The 25069-nt window shown below is 50.8% G+C and overlaps 2 protein-coding genes and 1 long non-coding RNA gene across 19 annotated transcripts in view, besides 5 other annotated features; 1 reads left to right on the top strand and 2 right to left on the bottom strand.

Moving 5' to 3' along the window:
* CGREF1 (cell growth regulator with EF-hand domain 1) lies at positions 663-20438 on the top strand. 4 transcript variants are annotated; one of them, NM_001301324.2, is made up of 6 exons: positions 663-945; positions 15414-15504; positions 17200-17265; positions 17570-17776; positions 19249-19375; positions 19951-20438. In NM_001301324.2, exons 2-5 carry the CDS (start codon positions 15492-15494, stop codon positions 19353-19355), a joined length of 393 nt encoding a protein of 130 aa, NP_001288253.1. In that variant the 5' UTR covers positions 663-945; positions 15414-15491; the 3' UTR covers positions 19356-19375; positions 19951-20438. The 4 variants fall into 4 exon arrangements, with proteins under 4 accessions (NP_001288253.1, NP_001159712.1, NP_006560.3 ...); NM_001166240.2 differs by lacking the exon at positions 19249-19375 and adding an exon at positions 17361-17431 and having other exon boundaries at positions 17570-17694; NM_006569.6 differs by lacking the exons at positions 19249-19375; positions 19951-20438 and adding exons at positions 17361-17431; positions 17903-19197 and having other exon boundaries at positions 17570-17694.
* Positions 730-1230: an enhancer, noted in NCBI's record as "H3K4me1 hESC enhancer chr2:27341429-27341929 (GRCh37/hg19 assembly coordinates)". NCBI's record gives its function as "activates a minimal SCP1, AML or CMV promoter by ChIP-STARR-seq in naive and primed H9 embryonic stem cells {active_cell/tissue: H9 hESC(naive and primed)}" and the evidence as "EXISTENCE:reporter gene assay evidence [ECO:0000049][PMID:30033119]".
* Positions 1231-1731: an enhancer, noted in NCBI's record as "H3K4me1 hESC enhancer chr2:27340928-27341428 (GRCh37/hg19 assembly coordinates)". NCBI's record gives its function as "activates a minimal SCP1, AML or CMV promoter by ChIP-STARR-seq in naive H9 embryonic stem cells {active_cell/tissue: H9 hESC(naive)}" and the evidence as "EXISTENCE:reporter gene assay evidence [ECO:0000049][PMID:30033119]".
* On the bottom strand, positions 2306-15414 carry LOC124907744 (uncharacterized). The gene is made up of 2 exons (XR_007086252.1): positions 15015-15414; positions 2306-5167 (listed from the first exon to the last, which is right to left on the bottom strand). It is a non-coding gene; the product is annotated as an uncharacterized LOC124907744 (long non-coding RNA).
* Positions 17802-18302: an enhancer, noted in NCBI's record as "H3K4me1 hESC enhancer chr2:27324357-27324857 (GRCh37/hg19 assembly coordinates)". NCBI's record gives its function as "activates a minimal SCP1, AML or CMV promoter by ChIP-STARR-seq in primed H9 embryonic stem cells {active_cell/tissue: H9 hESC(primed)}" and the evidence as "EXISTENCE:reporter gene assay evidence [ECO:0000049][PMID:30033119]".
* Positions 18009-18188: a silencer, noted in NCBI's record as "fragment chr2:27324471-27324650 (GRCh37/hg19 assembly coordinates)". NCBI's record gives its function as "represses an EF-1alpha promoter that drives an FKBP-Casp9 reporter gene in an ReSE screen in K562 erythroleukemia cells {active_cell/tissue: K562}" and the evidence as "EXISTENCE:reporter gene assay evidence [ECO:0000049][PMID:32094911]".
* Positions 19029-25069, bottom strand: part of KHK (ketohexokinase) — a 13991-nt gene continuing 7950 nt past the window's right edge. For 4 of the 14 annotated variants that reach the window (XM_005264296.5, NM_000221.3, XM_017004061.3 and 1 more), the window contains 5 exons: positions 22990-23062; positions 22142-22288; positions 20507-20595; positions 20214-20371; positions 19029-20126 (listed from right to left, as the gene is read on the bottom strand). In XM_005264296.5, coding sequence (XP_005264353.1) covers positions 20041-20126; positions 20214-20371; positions 20507-20595; positions 22142-22288; positions 22990-23062 — 553 coding nt within the window. In that variant the 3' untranslated portion in view covers positions 19029-20040. Of the gene's footprint in view, positions 20127-20213; positions 20372-20506; positions 20596-21712; positions 22289-22989; positions 23063-24856; positions 24992-25069 lie in introns of those variants that run through there. The other 10 variants (XM_006712010.5, XM_006712012.5, XM_006712013.5 and 7 more) reach the window with 3 other exon arrangements.
* Positions 19908-20751: an enhancer, noted in NCBI's record as "H3K27ac-H3K4me1 hESC enhancer chr2:27321908-27322751 (GRCh37/hg19 assembly coordinates)". NCBI's record gives its function as "activates a minimal SCP1, AML or CMV promoter by ChIP-STARR-seq in naive H9 embryonic stem cells {active_cell/tissue: H9 hESC(naive)}" and the evidence as "EXISTENCE:reporter gene assay evidence [ECO:0000049][PMID:30033119]".

Genomic DNA, 25069 nt, shown 5'->3' with positions numbered 1-25069 from the left:
CTCGGCTCACTGCAAGCTCCACCACCCAGGTTCATGCCATCCTCCTGCCTCAGCCTCCCGAGTAGCTGACACTACAGGCGCCCGTCACCATGCCCGGCTAATGTTTTTGTATTTTCAGTAGAGACGGGGTTTCACTGTGTTAACCAGGATGGTCTCCATCTCCTGACCTCGTGATCCACCCGCCTTGGCCTCCCAAAGTGGTGGGATTACAGGTGTGAGCCACCACGCCCGGCCCCTGAAGCCCACACTATCACACGGATGCACAGTCACACAAAATACCCCCTACCGTGTCACAAATTCCTCATACACAGAGCCACACATGCCAGTCACAACCGCACATGCTAACAGTAAGTTAGGTTCCATTTTGTCACATACATCTGGGTCCCTCAGGCAGAGAAAGTGGCAACCAAAGCATGAGCACAGTTAAACATACTTCTGATGCACACTGGCCTCACTGTCTCTTGGTCTCTCTGTACTCACATGTGTGCATACAGGCACACGCACACATCCGCGCACACATGCACGCTCACACACGTGCATCCTTACACATGCTCACACTCACGCTCACAATGTCACACGCATGTGCACACCCGCACAAGCACACGAGCGCACTCACGAGCACACGCGGACTCGCACACGCGCACATGCGCACTCACGCACGCACACACGCGCACACTCACACGGGCGCGCGCAGCCCCTCCGGCCGCGGGCGCAGCGGGGGCGCTGGTGGAGCTGCGAAGGGCCAGGTCCGGCGGGCGGGGCGGCGGCTGGCACTGGCTCCGGACTCTGCCCGGCCAGGGCGGCGGCTCCAGCCGGGAGGGCGACGTGGAGCGGCCACGTGGAGCGGCCCGGGGGAGGCTGGCGGCGGGAGGCGAGGCGCGGGCGGCGCAGCAGCCAGGAGCGCCCACGGAGCTGGACCCCCAGAGCCGCGCGGCGCCGCAGCAGGTGGGTGACACCCCGCCCCGGCCGGCCGGAGACCCGAGCCCATCGCCGTCAGCCAGCCAGGGCCGCGCGGGGTAGGTGGCCTCCAGCCTCTGGTCCAGATCCCGAGAGCGCAGTCCCTCTGCATCCCCTGCGGCTCAGACGCGGCGGGAGCAGTGGCCCTTGCCCCTGTGTACCCTGAGGGCAGGTGGAGGAAGGGACTGGAGAGCGAGCCTGAGGCTCCTTGGTGTGAATTTGGGGCTTCGCAGTTCCCCAGGCGCTTCCCCCAGCCCCGCATTCCGTGTTCCAGCAGTCCTGGGGGAGGGGCAGCTGGCGGGAGCTTTCCCCCTCATCCGACGGGGAAGAAATGGAGCGCTGGGGAGGGCCCGAGGCTGTCGTCCGCTTGCAGGTGGCCGAGGGACCAGCTCCCGGGTGTGGGCTCCTCTAGCCCTGTAGCCGCTGTCTCCTTTCTTGGGGGATGGGTGCTGGGAGGCACAAGGGCACCAGAGGGATAAATTAAGAATTAAGGGAGAGGATTCTACTCAAAATTTTAGCTTCCCAACAGTTCGACTCTACAGGAGATGGAACTGCCGGCCTGTGAGGTGCTAGGTTCCTGTCCTGGAATGATTCAAGCAGAGGCCATTTGACAGGGTTGCTGAGGAAGAAATTTTTGCTTTGGATGGGAAGTTACCCAGGATAACCCTGCAAGGCCCCTGCCACAGCCCAGAGGCTCTGAAATACCCAAGCAGCACCTGCTTGGTGCCAGGCACCTACCCTAAGTTTTCTCATTGCAGCCTCCCCAAACCTTTAGGAGACAGATACCGTTATCCTCATTTTTAAAATGCAGATCCCGACCAGGAGCAGTGGCTCACGCCTGTAATCCCAGCACTTTGGGAGGCCGAGACGGGCGGAACACGAAGTCAGGAAATCGATACCATCCTGGTTAACACGGTGAAACCCCGTCTCTGCTAAAAATACAAAAAAAATTTAGCCAGGCGTGGTGGCAGGCGCCTGTAGTCCCAGATACTCGGGAGGCTGAGGCAGGAGAATGGAGAATGGCGTGAACCCGGGAGGCGGAGCTTGCTGTGAGCCGAGATCGTGCCATTGCACTCCAGCCTGGGCGACAGAGCGAGACTCCGCCTCAAAAAAAAAAAAAAAAAAAAATTCAGATCCCAGGGCTCAGAGAGGTTAAGACACCTGCCTAGGTCCCACAGTGAGTAGTATCAGAGGCAGGATTTGATCAGAAGTCTAACCTGTAGAGCGTGCTCTCCTCCCATGCACTGGTGCAAAGGCTTGAAGAACACTGGGGCCGGAGGGTCATTGTGAATGTGTGAGTGCACGTGTGTGACATAACTTTATTAAATTACATGGCAACTGTTAACAGTTATGGTGGCTTTCATGTGTTTATTAGGGTAATTATGTTCATGCACATTATAGTTATAGAAAATGGTTAGGGACATTTTTATTGGACAGGCAGTGGTTCAATAACTATTTTATTTCTCTCACAAAAGCTTTTGTTAATGTTTAGAAATGTCTAAGTGTCAACACATCGCACTAACCTCATTACACATTACATGAGGTGTCTTAGCCTTTCCTTAAACCACTGAGGTGGGTTACTTGCACTAAAATGTCACAGTTGGAAGCATTACTTAGAATATTGGCCAGGTGCAGTGGCTCATGCCTGTAATCCCAGCACTTTGGGAGGCCAAGGTGGGTAGATCACTTGATCAGGGGTTCGAGAACAGCCTGTCCAACGTGGTGAAACCCCGTCTCTACTAAAAATACAAAAATTAGCCAGGTGTAGTGGTGCACACCTGTAATCCCAGCTACTTGGGAGGCTGAGGCAGGAGAATCGCTTGAGCCTGGGAAGTGGAGACTATGGTGAGTAGATTTTGCGCCACTGCACTCCAGCCTGGGTGACAGAGCGAGACTCTGTCTCAAAAAAAGAGAGAGAGAGAGAGAGAGAGAGAGAGAGAGAGAGAGAGAGAGAGAGAGAGAATAGGCCTGGCCTGGTGGCTCATCCCTGTAATCCCAGCACTTTGGGAGGCCAAGGTGGGCAGATCACCTGAGGTCAGGAGTTCAAGACCAGCCTGGCCAAGATGCCGAAACCCCATCTCTACTAAAAATACAAAATTAGCAGGTCATGGTGGCACATGCCTGTAATCCCAGCTACTCGGGAGGCTGAGGCAGGAGAATCGCTTGAACTCGGGAGGTGGAGGTTGTGGTGAGCTGAGATCGCGCCATTGCACTCCAGCCTGGGCAGCAGAGTGAGACTCTATCTCAAAAAAAAAAAAATTATACTGAAAGTCCACATCATTTACTTTTTTTTTTCTCTCTCTTTTTTTGAGACAGTCTTGCTCTGTGACCCCAGCTGGAGTGCAATGGCACAATCTTGGCTCATTGCAACCTCTGCCTCCTGGGTTCAAGCAATTCTCGTGTCTCAGCCTCCGAAGTAGCTGGGATTACAGGCACGTGCCACTGTGCCTGGCTAATTTTTATATTTTTAGTAGAGATGGGGTTTCACCATGTTGGCCAGGCTGGTCTCAAACTCCTGACCTCAGGTGATCCTTCCACCTTGGCCTCCTAAAGTGCTGGGATTACAGGTGTAAGCCACCATGCCCGGCCTTTGTTTTTTTTTTTTTTTTTGGTGGCATCTTGCTGTCATCCAGGCTGGAGTGCAGTGGTGTAATTATAGCTCACTGCAGCCTTCAACTCCTGGGCTGAAGTGATCCTCCTGCATCAGCCTCTCAAGTAGCTGGGACCATAGATTTGAGCCACCATGCTGTCTAATTAAAAACAATTTTTGTTTGTTTTTTTTAGAGATGGGGGGGGTCTCATTTTGCTGCCCAGGCTGGTCTCGAACTCCTGGCTTCAAGCAATCCTTTTGCCTTGGCCTGCGAAGTACTGGGATTACAGGCGTGAGCCATTGTACTCAGCCCAATCACTTGCATTTTTGAGGTGGGCTATAACCGAATGCTAAGGTTGTCAGGAGGGCCCAGGACATTCCAGATTGAGGATGGAACAGGTTGGGCAAAAGCACTGAAAAGTGAAAGTGGAAAGTATTTTAGGAGACTCCAATAACTCCTTGGTTTGAAGCAGTGTGCTATCATAATACAGCACTGGAAGATGAGTCAACAGTAACTTGATATCTGATTGTAGAAGGCCTTGAATGCCCAGGTGAAGATTCTGGACTGTAATCGAAATAGGGAGCCACTGAAGGTTCTAGAGCAGTGGAATTCTAGCAAAGGATGATTTATCTGATGTGGGTGTGGAGGGTTCTTTAAGTGGAGAAAATACCAGAGACAGGGATAACACTAAAAGGCTTGTATATTAGTTTGTGCCAGAAGTAATTCATTATTCATTTAATGTTCACTGTAACCCTGTGAGGTAAATATTATCTCCAGTATGTGGATAAGGTAACTGAAGTTTAGTGAGAAAAATTAATTTACCCAAGGTCACAGGGACACTCAGTGGTGGAGCTTGGGTTTAAAAGTAGGTCTGGCTGTTTCCAAAGCTCTGTTTTCTGTCCATTAAACATACTGAAGAGTTAAATATATGAGGGGTACATAGGACCAAGAAGAGGAGAGTGATAGTCATTCACGGGGTAGGACTCAGGACCAGGTGCATAATTTGCAGGGCTCGGTGCAAAAATGATTGAGAGTTTCAAGATAGTGACAACAGAGCATTAGCCTAAGCACAGGGCCCCTCTGAGAGCGGGGAACTTGTGACTTCACAGGACGCACACCCATGAAGCCAGCCCTTACATGGTTGGTTTTCCAATTACTATGGCAGTGTAACAAACCACCTCAAAATGTAATGGCTTAAAAGGATAATGGGCCCAGCATGGTAGCTCATGCCTATAATCCCAGCACTTTGGAAAGCCGAGGCAGGAGGATTGCTTGAGCCTGGGGGTTTCCAATCAGCCTGGGCAACATGTGAGACCCTGTCACACACACACACACACAAAAAGATAACGTTGATGTTGACTTTGCACATGAGTGCAGGCTGTGGAGACAAGCACATTTCTACTGCATTCAGTGTTGGCTGGGGCAGCTCAGAGGCTGGGGGTTAGAATTATCCGGAGCTTGGCTCTCTCCCCTGTCTGGTTGTTGGGCTGGGAAGATTTGAGCTGGAGGCTTCTCAGGCATCTGTTTCTAGGTGGGTTCTCCACACTCTCTCTTCCGTAGGGTGGTTTCGGGGAGACCAGGCTCCTTCCATGGTGGCTCAAGGTTCCAGAGGTGCACATCTGTGTGTCAAGTGAAGGGGAGAACCAGAACCAGGCATAAGCTAGGTCACTTTTATTACTTGGACTTGGAAGTCATGTAAGCACCATTTCAGCAACTCATTAGAAGCCAGTCACTAAGTCCAGATCATATACAAGGGGAGGCGAGTTAGACTCCAAGTTTTGTGGGAAGGAATGTCAAAGAATGTGTAGACAGGTTTTTAAAGCTACCACAGTGGCCTAATGAGTGAGAGGATGAGTGGATCTGAGGGGTGCTTCCCCTTTATGCCTGAACGGCTCCCCCCAGAGTCATCCTTTGGAGTTCACAGACATCCTCCTTTAAAAGGCATCTGAGGGCCGGGTGTGGTGGCTCACACCTATAATCCCAGCACTTTGGGAGGCTGAGGCAGGCGGATCACGAGGTCAAGAGATCGAGACCATCCTGGCCAACATGGTGAAACCCCGTCTCTACTAAAAATACAAAAATTAGCTGGGTGTGGTGGCGTGCACCTGTAGTCCCAGCTACTTGGGAGGCTGAGGCAGGAGAATTGGTTGAACCTGGGAGACGGAGGTTGCAGTGAGCCGAGATCACGCCACTGCACTCCAGCCTGGTGACAGAGCGAGACTCTGTCTCAAAAAAAAAAAAAAAAAAAAAAAGGCACCTGCTAGTATGTAAGAACACGTGAAGGCTGGATGATGAGTTTTGACAGCTCTGAGGGATTTAAATGACTCCAGTGCCTCCTGTCGGCCTGGGTCCTAGCAGTAAACAGATAGGGTGGAGAAAGCAATTTGAGAGGAGCCAGGTGGGAAGGGGGTGTGTGAAGCCACTGTGGGGCCGTGCAGATGAACTCTTGGAAGGAAAAAGGCCTTATTGTAGATCAGGCACTGCACTTTACACATCTTGTCTCATTAATTAAACCCTCACCACAGCCCTGCCAGAGGTGCTCTCGTCAGCCCCGCATTACAGATGGAGAACCTGAAGCACAGAAAAGCCGCACAGCTAGTGGGCTGCGGAGCCCAGATTTGAACACAGGCAGCCTGAGGTCAGGGCCCATACCCCCCAACTTTGGGCCGTACCACCTATTCCATAGCAATTCTGTGTTTTTCTTGCGTTAACATTTGTATCTTTTCCTACTTACATATTTGCAAGCTTTAGGGGGAAAAAGAAAAAGTAATTCGACCTTAAGAGATCAGCTTAGTGATAAGAGAGTGCCTCACATATGGCAGGTGTTCAATAAATATTAAAGAAATGAATATTTATCCTTATTGTACAAACTTATATCTAACTTGCCTTCCCTACGGATGCTTGCCCTCTGGTCTTTGTCATGTGGCAGCTGTTGGTGCTTTCCATGGTATTCTCTGTGGCACCCAGGCCAGGGAGCCAGAACTTCTGGCATTCTCCTGGTCAACTGGCTCTCTCAGCCATTAGGCACCCCTCCTTCCACCTTAGAGACTGGAACCCTCAGCTGACCTCAGCCCCCTTCTTCAAACCAGCAGCACTCTAGATACAAAGAACTGGGAGAGGCAGCCCTCTCTCTGCCCATTCACCCAGACCCTCCTTCAGCTGCTGCTTCCTGACCTCCCAGGCACCCTGTAGGCAGGGCCTTCTCTCTAACCTTCCTGGAAACAAGGCACTCATCTCTGCGGCTCCTGGACCCCATTCAGTACCCATAGGGTTTCTAGGGAGATTTCTGTCTTCTACTTCCTGCTGAGGCCCAGGTGGTGGAACCCCACCCTTCTGGGGACCCGGGAAGCCTCCACACACTAGCGGCAATTCCTTCAGTTCTCTGTCACTTGTCTCCTCGAACGTGATTTGTGGTATATTTCATGACACAGAAGTTTAAACTTTTGATATACTCAAATCTGCTCATTTTTTCCTTTTAAACTTTCTGAGTTGATGTATTATATTTAATGGTTCTATCACATAATATGGTTTGTTCAGCCATTGCCTAAATGTTAGACATTCAGGTTGCTTACATTTGTTTGACTAATATTAATAGCACAGCTATACATATCTTTGTAATTTCTTTTCCATTTATATTCTTTTATGTAATCCCCAAGACGATATTGTTGGGTCAGAGTTTTAGGAAATTAATACACATTTCCAGACTGCTCTCTAAAAACATTTCAGGTTTATAGTTCCAGAAGCAGTAAAGGTTAATACTCACTGATTCAGTTTCCTTAGTGATTGTAAGACTATCAAAGCTTATTTCTTTTTGCATCAGTTTTGCTATTAAGTTTTTCTAGGAAATTGGCCATATCCTCTAAGTTTTCAAATCTCTGCTGTTTCTTTAGTTATGTCCCTATTTTCCTTCTTAATATTGTTTGTGCCTTTTCTATTTGTTCTTTTAGTCTTTGGTTTATTTTTTTCTGAAATGGGGTCTCACTCTGTCACCCAGGCTGGAGTACAGCAGCACAATCACAGCTCACTGCAGTCTCAACCTCCTGGGCTCAAGTCATCCTTCACCTCAGCTTCCCAAGTAGCTAGGACTACAGGCGTGCACCACCACACCCAGCTAATTTTTTAAAATTAATTTTTTGTAGAGATGGGGGTCTCACTATGTTGCCCAAGCTGGCCTCCAACTTCTGGGCTCAAGCAATCCTTCTGCCTCAGCCTCCCAAAGTGCTGGTGAGAGGTGACAGTGTGTGCCCTCGCTCGTTCTCGGCGCCTCCTCGGCCTTGGCGCCCACTCTGGCCGCGCTTGAGGAGCCCTTCAGCCCACCGTTGCACTGTGGGAGCCCCTTTCTGTACTGGCCAAGGCCGGAGCCGGCTCCTTCAGCTTGCAGGGAGGTGTGTAGGGAGAGGCGCGAGCGCGAACCGGGGCTGCGCGCGGCGCTTGCCGGCCAGCGCGAGTTCCGGGTGGGCGTGGGCTCGGGGGCCCAGCACTCGGAGCTGCCGGCCGGCCCCGCCGGCCCCGGGCAGTGAGGGGCTTAGCACCTGGGCCAGCAGCTGCTGTGCTCTACTTCTCGCCGGGCCTCAGCTGCCTCCCCGCGGGGCAGGGCTCGAGACCTGCAGCCCGCCATGCCTGAGCCTCCCCACTGCCGTGGGCTCCTGCACGGCCCAAGCCTCCCAACGAGCGCCACCCCCTGCTCCACGGCGCCCTGTCCCATCGACCACCCAAGGGCTGAGGAGTGCGGGCGCAGGGTGTGGGACTGACAGGCAGCTCCACCTGCGGCCCCGGTGCAGGATCCACTGGGTGAAGCCAGCTGAGCTCTTGAGTCTGGTGGGGACTTGGAGAACCTTTATGTCTAGCTAAGGGATTGTAAATACGCCAGTTGGCACTCTGTATCTAGCTCAAGGTTTGTAAACACACCAATCAGCACCCTGTGTCTAGCTCTGGGTTTGGGAATGCACCAATTGACACTCTGTATCTAGCTAACCTAGTGGGGACGTGGAGAACCTTTGTGTCTAGCTCAGGGATTGTAAACGCACCAATCAGCACCCTGTCAAAACAGACCACTCCGCTCTCTGTAAAATGGACCAATCAGCAGGATGTGGGTGGGGGCCGGATAAGAGAATAAAAGCAGGCTGCCAGAGCCAGTAGTGGCAATCTGTTCAGGTCGTTTTCCATAGTGTGGAAGCTTTGTTCTTTCGCTCTTTGCAATAAATCTTGCTGCTGCTCACTCTTTGGGTTCACACTGCCTTTATGAGCTGTAACACTCACCACGAAGGTCTACAGCTTTACTCCTGAAGCCAGCGAGATCACGAACCCACTGGGAGAAACGAACAACTCCAGACGCACTACCTTAAGAGCTGTAACACTCACTGCGAAGGTCCGCAGCTGCATTCCTGAGCCAGCGAGACCACAAACCCACCAGAAGGAAGAAACTTCGAACGCATCCGAACATCAGAAGGAACAAACTCCAGACACGCCGCCTTTAGGAACTGTAACACTCAACCGCGAGGGTCCGCGGCTTCATTCTTGAAGTCAGTGAGACCAAGAACCCACCAATTCCGGACACACTGGGATTACAGGTGTGAACCACAACACCTGGCTCTCTTTGTTCCTAATTGAAATTGCCAAAGGTTTGTCTGTTTTACTAGGCTTTTGTTTCTTTGTATATATATATTTTTTATTTTACTAGTCTTTTTAAAGAAACCACCCTTGTTTGGCTCTGTTGCTTCTCTTTATTGTGTTTTTAATTTCTGCTATTATTTCATTTATTTTAATTTCTTTAAGTGTAGTCTCTTTTATTAGTGCTGTTTTTGTTATTTTTGGGTTTGTGTGTGTGTGTGTGTGTATTTTTTTGGAGATAGTCTGACTGTCACCGAGGCTGGAGTGTAGTGGTATAATTGCAGCTTACTACTGCCTCAATGTCCCACGTTCAAATGTTCTTCCCACCTCAGCCTCCCTAGTAGCTGGATCTACAGATGTATGTCACCACACCCAGCTAATTTTTTTAAAAATTATTTTCTGTAGAGACAGGGTGTTGCCCAGGCTGGTCTCAAACTCCTGGGCTCAAACAGAGACTATGTTGCCCAGGCTGGTCTCAAACTCCTGGGCTCAAGTGATCCTCCCACCTCGGCCTCCCAAAGTGCTGGAATTACAGGCATTAGCCACACACCCAGCCTTTACTTTTTATTTCTTCTTTTTCATCTTTTCCTGCTTTTATTTCTTCTTTTTCTGCCTTTCTTTTAGTTCAGTTTTTAAAATTCCATTAATTTTTTTCTACTGGTTTGAGGCTATACATTCCAGTTCTAATTTTTTAATGGTTATCCTTAAAATTTTAACATGCTTTTTTTTTTTTTTTTTTTTTTTTTTGAGACGGAGTCTTCCTCTTGTTGCCCAGGCTGGAGTGCAATGGTGTGATCTCGGCTCACCACAACCTCCGCCTCCCAGGTTCAAGCGATTATCCTGCCTCAGCCACCCAAGTAGCTGGGATTACAGGCATGCACCACCTTGCCCAGCTAATTTTGTATTTTTAGTAGAGACAGGGTTTCTCCATGTTGGTCAGGCAGATCTTGAACTCCCAACCTCAGGTGATCCGCCCACCTCGGCCTCCCAGAGTGCTGGGATTACAGGCGTGAGCCACCGCGCCCAGCCTTAACATGCATATTTAACAAAGTTCATCAATATGTCCACTCTCTTCCCAAACAGCCATCTTTGCTTTACATGTCATTGTCCAATATTGTAGTTCAGACCAGCTTTTTTGCCTCATATATTAACATAATTAGCATTGTTTAACAGTCTATGTCTGTTTAGATTTAGCCACATACTTTGTGATTTCTTTGCTCCACATGTTTTCTTGCATTTCAAACCCTTTTTTTTTTTTTTTAAGACAGGGTCTTGCTCTGTTGCCCAGGCTAGATTACAGTGGTGTGATCAGAGCTCACTGCCTCCTTCACCTCTTGGGCTCAAGCGATCCTACCACCTCAGCTTCCTGAGTAGCTGGGACTACAGGCACACCCCACCATGCCCGGCTAATTTTTTCCTATTTTTTGTAGAAATGGAGTCTCACTATATTGCCCAGGCTGGTCTTGAACTCCTGGGCTCAGGAGATCCTTCCACCTCAGCTTCCCAAAGTGCTGGGATTACAGGCACGAACTCATATCCAGCTGAATTTCCTTTAATGAAGGAATGTTAGTGGCAAATTCTCTAAGTTATTTGCCTAAAATTGTTTTTACAAGGTAGGAGGATTGCTTGCACCCAAGACCAGCCTGGGCAACAAAGTTGAGACCCTGTCTCTACCAAAAAAAAAAAGCTGGGCATGGTGGCACATTCATGTCGTCCCAGCTACTTGTGAGGCAGGAGTGGGAGAATTGCTATGATCATGCCAGGAGTTCCAGCCTGGGCAACAGAGTGAGACCCTGTCTCTAAATAAATAAATAAATAAATTTGCTTCACCTCATTCTGCAAGATAATTTTGCTGAGAATAGAATTCTAGAATATCAATTTTCTCCCCTCTCTGAACACATTAAAATACTATATTACTGTATTTGGGCATCATTGATGTCAAGAAATCAGCTATCAGTCTAATTACTTTTCCTATGAGATGATTTGTCTTTTCTTTCTGACTGCTTTTACAATTTTTTTTTTCTTGAGTGTTCTATTTTAGAAAAATAGGTCTAGGTGAGAATTTCTGTTTATTTAATCTGCATTGAATTGTTGGGCTTCCTGGATTGGCATATTCCAGTGTTTTGCAACCTACTGGAAAAATGTCAGCTATTATTTCTTCAAATACTGCTTTTTTCCAGTTGTATCTCTTATCTTCTCCATCCACCTTGCCACTTAACCTCTGTTTTATATTTTCTATGTCTTTGACTCAATGAACTGCACTCTGGATAATTTATTCAGATCTATTTTCCAGTTCATTAACTCTCATATCAGTTGTGTCTAATCAATTTAACTCACCCGTTGCATTTTTATTTTTATTTTTTATTTTATTTATTTTTTTAAGACAGTCTCACTCTGTCGCTCAGGCTGGAGCGCAGTGGGGTGATCTTGGCTCACTGCAACCTCCGCCTCCTGGGTTCAAGCGATTCTCCTGCCTCAGCCTCCCGAGTAGCTGGGATTACAGGCGTGTGCCACCAAGCCCAGCTAACTTGTGTATTTTTAGTAGAGACGGGGTTTCACCATGTTGGCCAGGCTGGTCACCCATTGCATTTTTAAAATCAATCTTTTATTTCTAAAAGTTATGTTTGTTTCCTCTTCAAATCTACTTGGTCATTTTTATGCTCTTATTTCTTTCTTTCTTTCTTTTTTTTTTTTTTTTTGAGACAGAGTCTCGCTCTGTGGCCCAGGCTGGAGTGCAGTGGCATGATCTCAGCTCACTGCAACCTCTGCCTCCCAGGTTCAAGTGATTCTTCTGCCTCAGCCTCCCGAGTAGCTGGGATTACAGGTGCCCACCACCACGCCTGGCTAATTTTTTGTATTTTTAGTAGAGACGGGGTTTCACCATGTTGGCCAGGATGGTCTCAATCACCTGACCTCGTGATCCACCAGCCTCAGCCTCCTAAAGTGCGGGGACTACAGGCATGAGCCACCACACCCGGCCTCTTTTTTTTTTTTTTAAAACATACTGTTGCTGGCCGGAAAACTCTTATTTCTTCCTCATAGTTTCAAGCTTCCCTTTAATTTCTTAAAACATGTGAACTGGCCGGGTGCGGTGACTCATGCCTGTAATCCCAGCACTTTGGGAGGCCAAGGTGGGCAGATCATGAGGTCAGGAGTTTGAGACCAGCCTGATCAACATGGTGAAACCCCATCTCTACTAAAAATACAAAAATTAGCAGGGCGTGGTGGCACATGCCTGTAATCCCAGCTACTTAGGAGGGTGAGGCAGGGGAATTGCTGGAACTCGGGAGGCAGAGATTGCAGTGAGCTGAGATTGCACCACGGCACTCCAGCCTGGGCAACAGAGCGAGACCCTCTCTCAAACAAAACAAAACAAAAAAAATGTGAACTGTATCTGCTGTATATTCTGTGTGTAACAATTCCAACACAGCTTTTCCAAGTCTACTTTTCCCTGCTATTGTTTTGCTGGCTCTTACTCAGTGTCTTATTTCTTTGTATGTTTATAACGTTTTGGCTATGAGTTCATATTCCTGGAAACTTTACCTATGGAAATTCTTTGAGGCCTGGATTAGAGTTGCTCCAGAGATGTGTGTTTTCCTCTGCCAGTCATCTGGGGGTGCCATCAACCAGGTTGCACTTCAAAATACATTACCTACTTTAGATGTTCTGACCATACAGGTAGCATTAATAATTCAGGCTTCAAACCCACATTAGAGGGCAGGCGCAGTGGTTCATGCCTGTAATCCCAGCAGTTTGGGAGGCTGAGGCGGGAGGATCACCTGAGATCAGGAGTTCGAGACCAGCTTGGCCAACACAGCGAAACTCTGTCTCTAGTAAAAATACAAAAAATTAGCTGGGCATGGTGGCACATGCCTGTAGTCCCAGATACTCAGGAGGCTGAGGCAGGAGAATCGCTTGAGCCCGGGAGGTGGAGGTTGCAGTGAGCTGATATCATGCCACAGCAACTCCAGCCTGGGCGACAGAGTGAGAGAGACTCCATCCCAGAAAAAACAAAAACAAAAAATCCACATTAGATCAGGCTTGTTATAGAGTCTCAGGGAGAGTTTTTTTTCTCCCTTCTACACAGCACCAAAATCAAGAAAGGCAAAATTCTTTGCTGCCCTTCTTCATGACAAATTTACTTTTTGTTCATGTTCAGAGTGTAGCTGTTTGGAATCCCAGCTTTACGTAGGGAATCTCCTGTTAGTCTCTTCATATCAGGTGGGCCCAGGTATCATCTCTGGTCTCCTTTACAGCACAAGCACACTGACAGGCAGCTCAAGTTCACCTGGGTTTGGTTTGGCAGATACTCCTAAGGCAAAAGCTAATGTCAAGCTCACTTTCCCCCAGATTACTGTTTTCACTGCACATTTGTACTGTTGAGGATTTCTTGCCAACCCAGTGCTTTTGAAAAGATACTTTCTATTTTTATCCAGCTTTGTGGTTACTTTCATTGGGACATTTACTATTACACTCCCAGAAGTGGAAGTCTGAATGTTTTTCTAGTCCATCCTTTTTCTGGGCTGTGACCCTTTGACGGTTTCATGTTGATACAGAGATCTCAGTTCCAATGGCCTACCTTGAACGGGCCCAGGACCTTGTCTTCTCTTCCAGGTGCAACGACTAAAACCCTAGGATTTATGTTGCCAGCTGATGTTGGTGAATACCTTTAGGGCAGCTGTGGCTTCAGCATCTATTTTTGGCTACTGGGGCTTATAGACACCAACAAATTATGTATACTCACTTTATCTGTTGGGCCAGTTGTATGCATAGAAAAATGAAGACGGGCCAAGTGCAGTGCCTCACGCCTGTAATCCCAGCACTTTGGGAGGCCCAGGCGGGCAGATCACCTGAGGTCAGGTGTTCAAGACCAGCCTGACCAACATGGTGAAACCCCGTCTCTACTAAAAATACAAAAATTAGCCAGGTGTGGCGGCAGTTGCCTGTAATCCCAGCTACTCGGGAGGCTGAGGCAGGAGAATCACTTGAACCAGGGAGGTGGAGGTTGCAGTGAGCTGAGATCATGCCACTGCACTCCAGCTTGGGTGACAGAGCAGGACTCCTTCTCAAAAAAAAAGAAAAAAAAGAAAAATGACAGGTTCTGTGACTCTAGGTAGCTTCATCTTCTTGTGGACTTCCATGTTTAGCTAGTTTTCCCTTAAGGTAGCTTTAAAAGGCAGAATTTTGTTTATCTTCCCATTAGCCAGGTGCTTACCTGCTCTACCCCTCATCTCTTAGGAAATGGAAGTCCATCCTGGCAGTGGTTCTGAACCTTATTAGGGTCATGGGTTGCTTGGAGAATCTGCTGAAAGCTATGAACCTTCCTCTAGGAAAACCCAGTGTCAGCCAGATGGGGATGTTCCTGATCTCTGCTAGACCATCAAGCATCTGACGGTTTTTCTTTCTAGAGATGGGCTTGGGGTCTCATGCCTTGGCTTTGGTGGGCTTCTGCTTCCTCAGGAACTCACACTACCTGTACATACCCTGGGACTCACCAGAAAGCTTTAGGCTCTGTTTGATTGGTCCATTCTATCCTTGACTGTTTTCATATACTCAAGTGGTTGATTTTGCCAATGGGCCTAAGCCATGTCAGTCTTAGGGGAAGTTTTTGTTTTTTCCTTTATAGTGGGTCTAATTTTCCTAACTGCATTTAGCAAATAGCAATTCCTGGGGCCACTGTTGGTCTGACCCTGATTTATTGTGTTTGCAGTTTGTACTTGAGTTTAGACCTATTTCAAGAAGTCTGCGCCTCTTTTGATTTGTTCTTCAGTGGGTTTTTAATAAACACAAACAGTCCATTTCTCTTTTTGCCTGTGTTTAAGTCTTGGTCTTTTTGTGACTCCCTGCGTTTCTTACCTGGCCTTTTTCTTAAACTTTCTGCGCTCCTTTCCATCTGTAAGATGAATGGGCTGAAGGAGGTCAGATATGCTTGCGCTGTACTTCTCTGGGCACCTTGGCACCTAGTGGGGAGCAAGGGAATGGGGCGTGGGGTGGGGATGCGCCCCCAGCTCTGCTTCCGCCACAGCAGGCCTGCCTTTATGTGCTTTATATACAAGAGCTGGAGTGACATTTATTTTGAGCATAGTTCCATGGGATCCCTGCTGTCTGTCTGTGAGTCCTCCCTGAGCAGGAGTCCTGTCTTTGGGGCTGCAGGTAGAAGCAGGCAGAAAATGCGCTTGTGTCTAACCCAGCCCATCTGTGACACGGTGGCAGACGCCTCTTTCCCCCGACCCCTGATTCTCTTCCTTGTTCCAGTTCCAGGAAGGATGTTACCTTTGACGATGACAGTGTTAATCCTGCTGCTGCTCCCCACGGGTCAGGCTGCCCCAAAGGATGGAGTCACAAGGTAACAGGGTTATGAGGGCAGGGCCAAGGGCTGGGAGGAGGGAAAGTCTCTAGAGAATCCAAGGGTGTGGTGGGCCCTCTGGGAGGCAGGAGACTGGGGTGTAGGTTCCCCGATCTCTGTATCTCCCTGCCATCAGCCTCCCATCTTGTGCCTGTCAGAGTGCCACAAAGTGGGCATTCAGTACATGCTTGCTGGACCCATTTGGAATCAGAGAACTCAGCTCCAGTGCATCGTGAAGAACAGGGAAGAAGCTGTGGCGCCAGAGAAGTGGGGGCTGCAATTGTTTGTTTGTTTGTTTGTTCTTGAGACAGAGTCTTACTCTGTCGCCCAGGCTGGAGTGCAGTGGCATGATCTCAGCTCACTGCGAGCTCCGCCTCCCGGGTTCAAGCAATTCTTCTGCCTCAGCCTCCCGAGTAGCTGGGACTACAGGCGCCCGCCACCATGCTGGGCTAATTTTTGTATTTTTAGTAGAGGTGGGGTTTCACCATGTTGGCCAGGCTGGTCTCGAACTCTTGACCTTGTGATCCGCCCACATCGGCCTCTCAAAGTGCTGGGATTACAGGCATGAGCCACCGTGCCTGGCCTGCAGTTTTGTTATCAAGACCTTGAGGTGGGCTGGGTGTGGTGGCTCACACCTGTAATCCCAGCACTTTGGGAGGCCGAGGCGGACAGATCACCTGAGGTCAGGAGTTCGAGACCAGCCTGGCCAACATGGTGAAACCCCATCTCTACAGAAATAAAAAACAATTAGCCGGGCATGGTGGTGCATGCCTGTAATCCCAGCTACTCAGGAGGCTGAGGCAAGAGAATCGCTTGAACCCGGGAGGTGGAAGTTGCAGTGAGCCGAGATCAAGCCACTGCACTCAGCCTGGGTGACAGAGCGAGACTCTATCTCAGAAAAAAAAAGACCTTATGGTGGCAACACCAAAGAAGTAGAGATCATTAGCATGTCATTTCTATGTTATCTGAATACCTTTCTGAAGGTTTTATTTATAAATACTGTGCAATGGGTATGCTGGGTAGAAGGGGAAACAGCCACAGGAACAGCCACAGGGGCTGGTAGCTGTGACAAAAGTCGCTGCAACTCCTGCCAGCTCTCTGGCATCACAGGTCTGGATTGACTTGGGCAAACAGTTAACCCAGTCCAGAAGTGGGAGCACATTTGGAGCTTGAAAGACTGACAACGAGATCCTGAGCAGCTTGAAACCCCAGAACCAACAGATACACCCTGTCCTGGAAAAAGTATAGGTCAATTTTATGTCATGGAGCAAACTGGGTCTATATAAAACTGGGCAGTGCCACCAGGCTCAGCCAGAGACCTGTCCCTTGGCTCCCAGCATGGAAGGAGAGGGGTCTGTGACCCATGTTGTCCTGCCACTCACTGGGCTGTTTTCTTGGATCTCTAACTTGTGTCTACTAGGTGTGGCCTCATCTGGCCTCTACCTAACCAGTTGTTTTATTTGGGTTTTCATTTAAAGTCTAAGGTAGCCAGCTGCAAAAACAGAGTCTGAGGGAGTTAAGGATTTGGTTCCAAGGAGACCAGAAGAGCCTCCCCACTACAGGGTTTTTGGAATTTTGGGGGCAACTCCCTTTGGGTCTGGGGAGAAAACTGCCAGGAGATTGGAGGCAGAAGGTTGGCAGGCTGGGCCCTGAGGGAGGCTCTCTGCAAGGCTGGTCCTCCCCTTCCTCCTCCAGGCCAGACTCTGAAGTGCAGCATCAGCTCCTGCCCAACCCCTTCCAGCCAGGCCAGGAGCAGCTCGGGTGAGTAGGGTGGGCCGGGGGTGCTTTCAGGGAGAAGACCAGGCCCAGGGCTGCAGACTCACCTCTCCCGGGCTGATTCTCCACTTTTCTGACAGACTTCTGCAGAGCTACCTAAAGGGACTAGGAAGGACAGAAGTGCAACTGGAGCATCTGAGCCGGGAGCAGGGTGAGGGGCTGGGCTGATGGGGCCAGGGACGGGAGGCTCTGGGCAGCCAGATCTGGGACTGACCTCGGCTGCCCCATTGACTCCTGCCTTCTCCACCTCCCCCGGCACCTCTTCTAATCCAGCTTCTCTTCTCTTTAGTTCTCCTCTACCTCTTTGCCCTCCATGACTATGACCAGAGTGGACAGCTGGATGGCCTGGAGCTGCTGTCCATGTTGACAGCTGCTCTGGCCCCTGGAGCTGCCAACTCTCCTACCACCAACCCGGTAAGCTCTGCTGGATGGAGATCCCCGCATAAAGGAGACCCAGCACTTTGGGGCTTTGGTCTTTCTCATCATAACTCTTTTGGTGAGTCCTCTGTAAAAGGAGGGCTCAGAGCTTGCACGGCAGGGATGCAAGGGTGTGTTAGGGAGGGTCAGAACTCCTGGGAACATCTCTGTCCCTGGAGACCCCACAGTGACTCTGCTTCCACAGGTGATCTTGATAGTGGACAAAGTGCTCGAGACCCAGGACCTGAATGGGGATGGGCTCATGACCCCTGCTGAGCTCATCAACTTCCCGGGAGTAGCCCTCAGGCACGTGGAGCCCGGAGAGCCCCTTGCTCCATCTCCTCAGGAGCCACAAGCTGTTGGAAGGCAGTCCCTATTAGCTAAAAGCCCATTAAGACAAGAAACACAGGAAGCCCCTGGTCCCAGAGAAGAAGCAAAGGGCCAGGTAGAGGCCAGAAGGGAGTCTTTGGATCCTGTCCAGGAGCCTGGGGGCCAGGCAGAGGCTGATGGAGATGTTCCAGGGCCCAGAGGGGAAGCTGAGGGCCAGGCAGAGGCTAAAGGAGATGCCCCTGGGCCCAGAGGGGAAGCTGGGGGCCAGGCAGAGGCTGAAGGAGATGCCCCCGGGCCCAGAGGGGAAGCTGGGGGCCAGGCAGAGGCTGAAGGAGATGCCCCCGGGCCCAGAGGGGAAGCTGGGGGCCAGGCAGAGGCCAGGGAGAATGGAGAGGAGGCCAAGGAACTTCCAGGGGAAACACTGGAGTCTAAGAACACCCAAAATGACTTTGAGGTGCACATTGTTCAAGTGGAGAATGATGAGATCTAGATCTTGAAGATACAGGTACCCCACGAAGTCTCAGTGCCAGAACATAAGCCCTGAAGTGGGCAGGGGAAATGTACGCTGGGACAAGGACCATCTCTGTGCCCCCTGCCTGGTCCCAGTAGGTATCAGGTCTTTCTGTGCAGCTCAGGGAGACCCTAAGTTAAGGGGCAGATTACCAATAAAGAACTGAATGAATTCATCCCCCCGGCCACCTCTCTACCCGTCCAGCCTGCCCAGACCCTCTCAGAGGAACGGGGTTGGGGACCGAAAGGACAGGGATGCCGCCTGCCCAGTGTTTCTGGGCCTCACGGTGCTCCGGCAGCAGAGCGCATGGTGCTAGCCATGGCCGGCTGCAGAGGACCCAGTGAGGAAAGCTCAGTCTATCCCTGGGCCCCAAACCCTCACCGGTTCCCCCTCACCTGGTGTTCAGACACCCCATGCTCTCCTGCAGCTCAGGGCAGGTGACCCCATCCCCAGTAATATTAATCATCACTAGAACTTTTTGAGAGCCTTGTACACATCAGGCATCATGCTGGGCATTTTATATATGATTTTATCCTCACAATAATTCTGTAGCCAAGCAGAATTGGTTCCATTTGACAGATGAAGAAATTGAGGCAGATTGCGTTAAGTGCTGTACCCTAAGGTGATATGCAGCTAATTAAATGGCAGATTTTAATCCAGGTCTGTCTCACTCTAAAGCCCTTTACATTATATGCTCTTTACATTATAAGGCCTTACCCACCCTATATTGGAGTTGGCCCCAATTCCAATATGTGTTCCAGATCGGACCTCCCTGAGGACAGCAACACTCTGTATCCTGGGTCACATTTGTGGCTGAGGCACGCCCTTAATTCCAAGGTGGGCTCCAAGGGTGAGACTTTCAGGCTCTGGGGCAGTCAGCGGGAGGAGGTATTTCTGGACAATGAAGACCCCATCAAATCACAGGCTGGTGGGCAGGGCAGAGGAGGCGCACCCCTGCCCCCCACTGGCCTGTCAGTTCAGCTCAGCGGTGTGGACTCCCAGCTTCTGAGCTGTGGGAATAGAGTCTGCACAACGCAGGGCCCCGAAGAGCTCTCACGGTTTCTTTGGCAGGTTCACTGGGTGTGGGGCACCGAGTGTCCTCCCCAGCCAGGGCAGAGCTGGTGGCAAGCCCAGGGCACTTCTCGCTGCTCTAGCCCAGGCAGCCCCTCCTCTGGGCCTGGGCGGAGAGGTTAATTTGGGGAATGGACACAAAGAGGGAGGATCGAAGAGTCAGAGCCTCAGGAATGCCCAGCCAGAGCAGTTCAGACATTGAGAGGAGAAGCTGGCTCTGAGGAAGATTTATTTGCTCTGAGGCTCTGCATCCCCCAGCCATCCCCCCAGAGCCTCTCCCTGTGGGGAACACAGGACACAGGCAGAGTCCTCCCCACAGCTTGCATCTGTCCCCTGAACAGGGCAACCTGGACGCCAGGCTGGATGGAGGGGAGAAGGCGATGCAGCCGCAATGGTAGTCTCCATGGTGTGTGAGGAGCCGGCACCTGCTCTCACACGATGCCATCAAAGCCCTGCAGGCCACACTTCTTGCCGGCCACCTGGCACCCGAATCTCAGTGCTTCCTGCACGCTCCTCCCTGGAGGAGGGGCAAGTAGCTAGGTCAGCCAGGTGTTTGGGGCAGGGACAGGTCCCAGTCCTTTTCCCCTCCTGCTGCCATACTCACCCTGGGAGAGGCTGAAGATGACGGAGGCATTGAAGGTGTCTCCAGCTCCCAGTGTATCCACCACGCGGGGTGGCGGGAAAGCATCCGAGTGGAGCAATTTGCCATCAGGGCCCAGGGCGTCGGCGCCCTCCTCAGCCCAGGCACAGACAAGCACAGCCCTGCAAGACGGCTCCACTCAGCTGGGTGTTAGCCCACCCCGTCCCCCCAGCCATCCTCCCAGCTCCAGGGCGGACTCCTGGAGTCCAGGCTCATCCTGTACCTTCTAAAGCCCCTTCCTGGCTTCCCCGGCTCACCCTTTCCTCACACGACCATACAAGCCCCTCAAGGCTTCCTCTGCTGACTGGAACCCCAAGTGCTTGGCCACATCTTTGCTGACAAACACCTGTGGGCAGTGGAAGAGAAGCTGGTGGTCACTTCTAACTCGTCATTCACCAACAGCAGCCTAGCGTTGCCCCCATTACAACACGACTCCCCCAACATGTCCACATAGATCCCCAACGTAGCATCTCACTGTCCCACGGGAACGTGGTTTTCTTTTTTCTTTATTTTTTGTGAAGATGGTCTCCCTGAGGCTGGTCTTGAACTCCTGGCCCCATATGATCTTCCTGCCTCAGCCTCCCAAAATTTCTGGGATTACAGGTGTGAGTCACTGCACCTGGCCAGAAGCATATTTTTATCGATGCTTATATATAATAGAATACAGCCTTGTAAATTGTAAAACAAAAGGCCTGGTCCGTTTGTTCTCTGATCAATGGATTGAAAACCCACAGAAAGCCTTGAGCGCCACCTTGGGGTGGAATCTACCACCGCCATGCTGGCTCCCTGGAGCAGTTTTGCTGGTTTTTCCCACAACTATGTCCTCTAGGTATGGTTTCTTCATCTGGAAAACAAAGAGGCTCCCTCAACACTACCTACACTTTAGAATCTCCAGAGAAAGTTTTGGTAAAAACAAAAAACAAAACACCGAAGCCTTGGCTCTACCCCTGCCAATCAAAAACAAGATGGTGGGGCTCAGGCACTGCAATCCTCCTGCCTCAGCCTCCTGAGTAGCTGGGACTATGGGTGCACACCACCATGCCAGGAATTTTTTTTTTTTTTTTTTGTATAGAGACAGGGTCTTGCAATCTTGAATGACTGGCTGAAGTGATCCTCCTGCATTGGCCTCCCAAGGTGCTGGGATTACAGGTATGAGTCACTGCTCTTGGCCTAATTTATTTTCATAGAGACAGGGGTCTTGCTATGTTGTCCAGGCTGGTCTTGGACTCCTGGCATCAAGCAATCCTCCTACCTCAGCTTCCCAAAGCTCTGGGATTACAAGTGTGAGCCACTACACTTGGCCTGCATTCATCTTTTTTAATATGCAGCCAAGGTTGAGGACAAGTCACAAGGTTGAGGACCTTGGCTGGATGGTCTCCAACCAACTTCTGCTATGATGCTGGGATTACTTCCCAAATTCCATTTACATCCAGCCTTTTCAAAAAGAGACTCATGCAAGTCTCCTTCCCACCCTTCCCTCACCCTAGCAGCCCCCACAACCTGCCAGACACCCCTGAGTTGGAAGAAACCTCAGAGAACAGTTGTGTGCCCTCATTCTGCAGAGGAAAAGACTGGGGAGCCCCAGAGAGGAGATGCTTCCACACAGGCTTGCCCTGTGGCTGTTTAAGCCCTACCCAAGCCCTCTGGGCATTCTTACACCTATGCACCCACCTGGGGTGGAGACATTCTACTCCTTGCTCACTGCTGAGGCCTGCACTGGAGCCCAAGGCTAGGGGTCTACTTCTTTGCTTTAACCCCCATCCCCCATCTTCAAACACCACCAAACCAGGAACCACTATTCCAATTGTGGTAGGCAGGATAAAAGGATTCTGGCTCCCTTTAAGAACCAAATTAGCTGGAAGTGGCAAAGAGAGGCTGAATGGGGCACCCACCACGTCTCCGTAGCCAAACAGCTGGAAGAGCTCCTCTCGTGGCTTCTCCACCTCCACGGACACCCGGATCTTCTGCTCTGGAGGCTGCCTGGTGTTGTGTGCGTCTATCCGCTGCAGCATCTTCACCTGCTCCGATGCGTTCCGGCCCTGGTACAGGACAGGGCAGCTCAGGACCGCTGGGCACTGCCTGGCCAATCTGCCTCATTCTTCCTGCCCCGCTGAAACTCTGGGTGAGGAGGGAGAGGGCCTCGGGGAGGCTGGGCTAGAACCCCATCCTAAATTACAACATTCAGAGCTGTCGTGGACTTTGAAGACCTTATCAACCAGCTACTCCATTCCACAGATGAGAAGACTAAAGAATAAAAGATACTGTGAAAGACCTACCATAGGTTAAATGATGGAGCTAGAACTCAGGACTTCTCAGGATTTCCTTCCACCCAGACTCCAAAACCTCTCTTGGAGTAAAGGCTCTAGTTCCCTTTATTTGGGAGCTGAGTCAGGCCCTGTCCTTCCTGCTTCCCCAGAGGTAATGGGTCAGGCCCTAAGCAGTCAGACATCCGCCAGAGGCAGAGTTGGAGGCAATGGGGCAGCCCGTAGCACAGAAAGCACAGGACTTTGCCTGGAGCCAGCTGTGCTTACGTTCTGCTGTGTGACCTTGAGTAAGTCATCTAATCTTTCTGGGCCTTAGTTTTCTCACCTGAAGACATAAGGAAAGATGGAGAGAGAATGAGGGGGTTGGGTTCATTTATCTCTAAGGTACTTCATGATTCAAAGAAACCAAGGAGGCAGAACATGTGGAGGAGGCTGGCAGGTTGAGCCCCTTGAAACACAGGTAAGGCAGGGCTTACCTCAATGTGGATCCACTTGAACTGGGTCAGATCAACCTTCTCAAAGTCTGTAGCAGACACATCTGGCAGGCTCCTAGGTCACAGGATGGAAAAGACAGAGAAGAAGGAGCATGATGGGGTCAGGCAGAGCCAGGATCTCTAACTGGCAGCTGTGGACCCTGTGCCTGCACTGCTGGCAGCATGACAGGAAGCTGGATCCACAGCACAGGATTCTCAGGCTCAGCTCCAGGGTTGTCCCTGTTACAGTCTGCTGGGGTGCCCTTTCCTGAGTTTGAGGTTGTGATTAAATTATCTCGGTAAACTGAACTGCAACACATGTCAACTGGCAAGGTCTGTGTGCCTTGGAGACTGCATCTCCCAGAATGCACTGAGAGCGCCAAGCCTACACTTCCCAGAATCCCTTGCAGCAGCACACGGCTCCCACAGGCAGAGCCCTGGGAAAGTATAAAGCCCGCGACCCCCTGCCTGGGCTGTCTGGTCCCCCTCACTTCTGGCGCCCCAGCGTTGGGGTTTACCTATGGCACCCCTGTCCTGCGTTTAATAGCTCCCCGTTGCAACCCTGAGGTCAAGGTAGCACTTGAGGAAGAGTTTGTGTTTGGCCGGTTTAGGAAAGGGGACTCCCGATAGAGGTCTGCCTTGACCCTCCTGAGCCAGAGACCTCAACTCAGCCAAAGTCCCCGCTCCACGTTCTGTAGCCGAGTCCTTCCACTTAACTATAGCTGTGTGATCTGCCCGGGCCTTTGGGAGGCAACTTCCACATTGATAAATGGGGCTGAAACCCCCAGCCCCCTTGCAGCCTGCTGCAGTTGCAGGTAATGTGTGTGAATGTGCCTGGACTGAGGCCAGTGGGCAAGAAACATTTCTCCTCAGAGCTCCTCTCCTGTAAATAGCTATGTTGTGTCCTTGATCAGGGTTACTACGGATTGTTGCTTAACAAGCATTTGACTAGGATTGCCCAATGCGAAGGTCACCTGTAGCACATATGCCTGCCTACTCACACTCACTGCACATATGAAGCCCAGGGATGGCTGCCCCTCCTCCAGGTCCGGCAGTCAGGCTGGGCCGTAGGAACAGCCTGAACCTGAGGGCTGCTGGGCTTGGGCCCTCTCAGCCATAACAGTACCTGGCACGTACTAGGTTCTTAGTACACTAAACCTCTAAAATCCTGCAGGAGGGAGTCTGCAAGGGATAAGAAGTGTCTAGGCCCATGGGGCCTCTCTTGAGTGGCCTGGGACCCTGAAGGGAGGGATAGCCCCTTCCCCCAGGTCAGCACCATGTTAGATGACCCTGATCTGCTGACCCCATGTTTCCTTTCCCCTCCTTCAGCAATGGCTGTGAATGGTGTGTGGCCTGGCTTCATCATGCTGGAAACTTTGGGGGGCTGATCTCTTTTACACACCCAAACCCCAGCTCCTTGGTGCCATGCTGCAGGCTGGCAACTCTGGGGCTGACTTTGGAAATCCCAGTGGGCACCCCCCCACAGCCCTTCTTAAGAAGGGTTGAATCCCATCTCCCACCCTTCTGTCCTGAGAACAGTTTCCCCGCACCCACAGCCAAGCTGCTGATTAACGATTTAATAATTATGGAGGAATCACTTAATAAATTACAGTTTATATAGGCCTGCCTGCCCTTCTTTGGTGTTGACCAAGGCCAAGTCACCAGGCACAGCAAAGCCCATCCCTTCCCACCTCACTTTTCCCCTAATTGAAAGCAATTAGGAAATCACTGGACATTTTGGCAGGGGAGCAACTTCTGGTACACAGAAGCCACAGAGGGGGGCAGTTGGGATGCCCATGGTGGCGAGTGAGGGAACTGATTGAGCCAACTGATTGGTGGGTTGTAGCAGGGCGAGGCCCGGGGGCCTTACGTGTCATGGAGCACAATGGTACGGTTGCCATTGGAGTTGTTGATGATGCAGCAGGAGCTGGGGGTGTCCCCCTTGCTCTGCCAGGCCACCTGAGACACGTCCACGCCCCGCCGCCTGAAGTCGGCCACCAGGAAGCTTAGGGTGGAGGCCGGGCCAGGAAAAGGGCAAGGAGACACAGATTAGAGCCTGGAAGTGGTCTGGACCTCCAAAAGG

Source organism: Homo sapiens, chromosome 2 (genome assembly GCF_000001405.40).
Source record: "Homo sapiens chromosome 2, GRCh38.p14 Primary Assembly".
NCBI classification, from domain to species: domain Eukaryota; kingdom Metazoa; phylum Chordata; class Mammalia; order Primates; family Hominidae; genus Homo; species Homo sapiens.
Note: the sequence above shows the minus strand (reverse complement) of the source record. Positions and strands in the feature narration are given on the sequence as shown.

Coding starts and splice junctions, on each gene's coding strand:
- CGREF1 (NM_006569.6), top strand. CDS start 15,425: ATGTTACCTTTGACGATGACAGTGTTAATCCTGCTGCTGCTCCCCACG. Junction 17,266..17,360: donor CCAGGCCAGGAGCAGCTCGG/GTGAGTAGGGTG, acceptor CTTTTCTGACAG/ACTTCTGCAGAGCTACCTAA. Junction 17,432..17,569: donor GCATCTGAGCCGGGAGCAGG/GTGAGGGGCTGG, acceptor TCTTCTCTTTAG/TTCTCCTCTACCTCTTTGCC.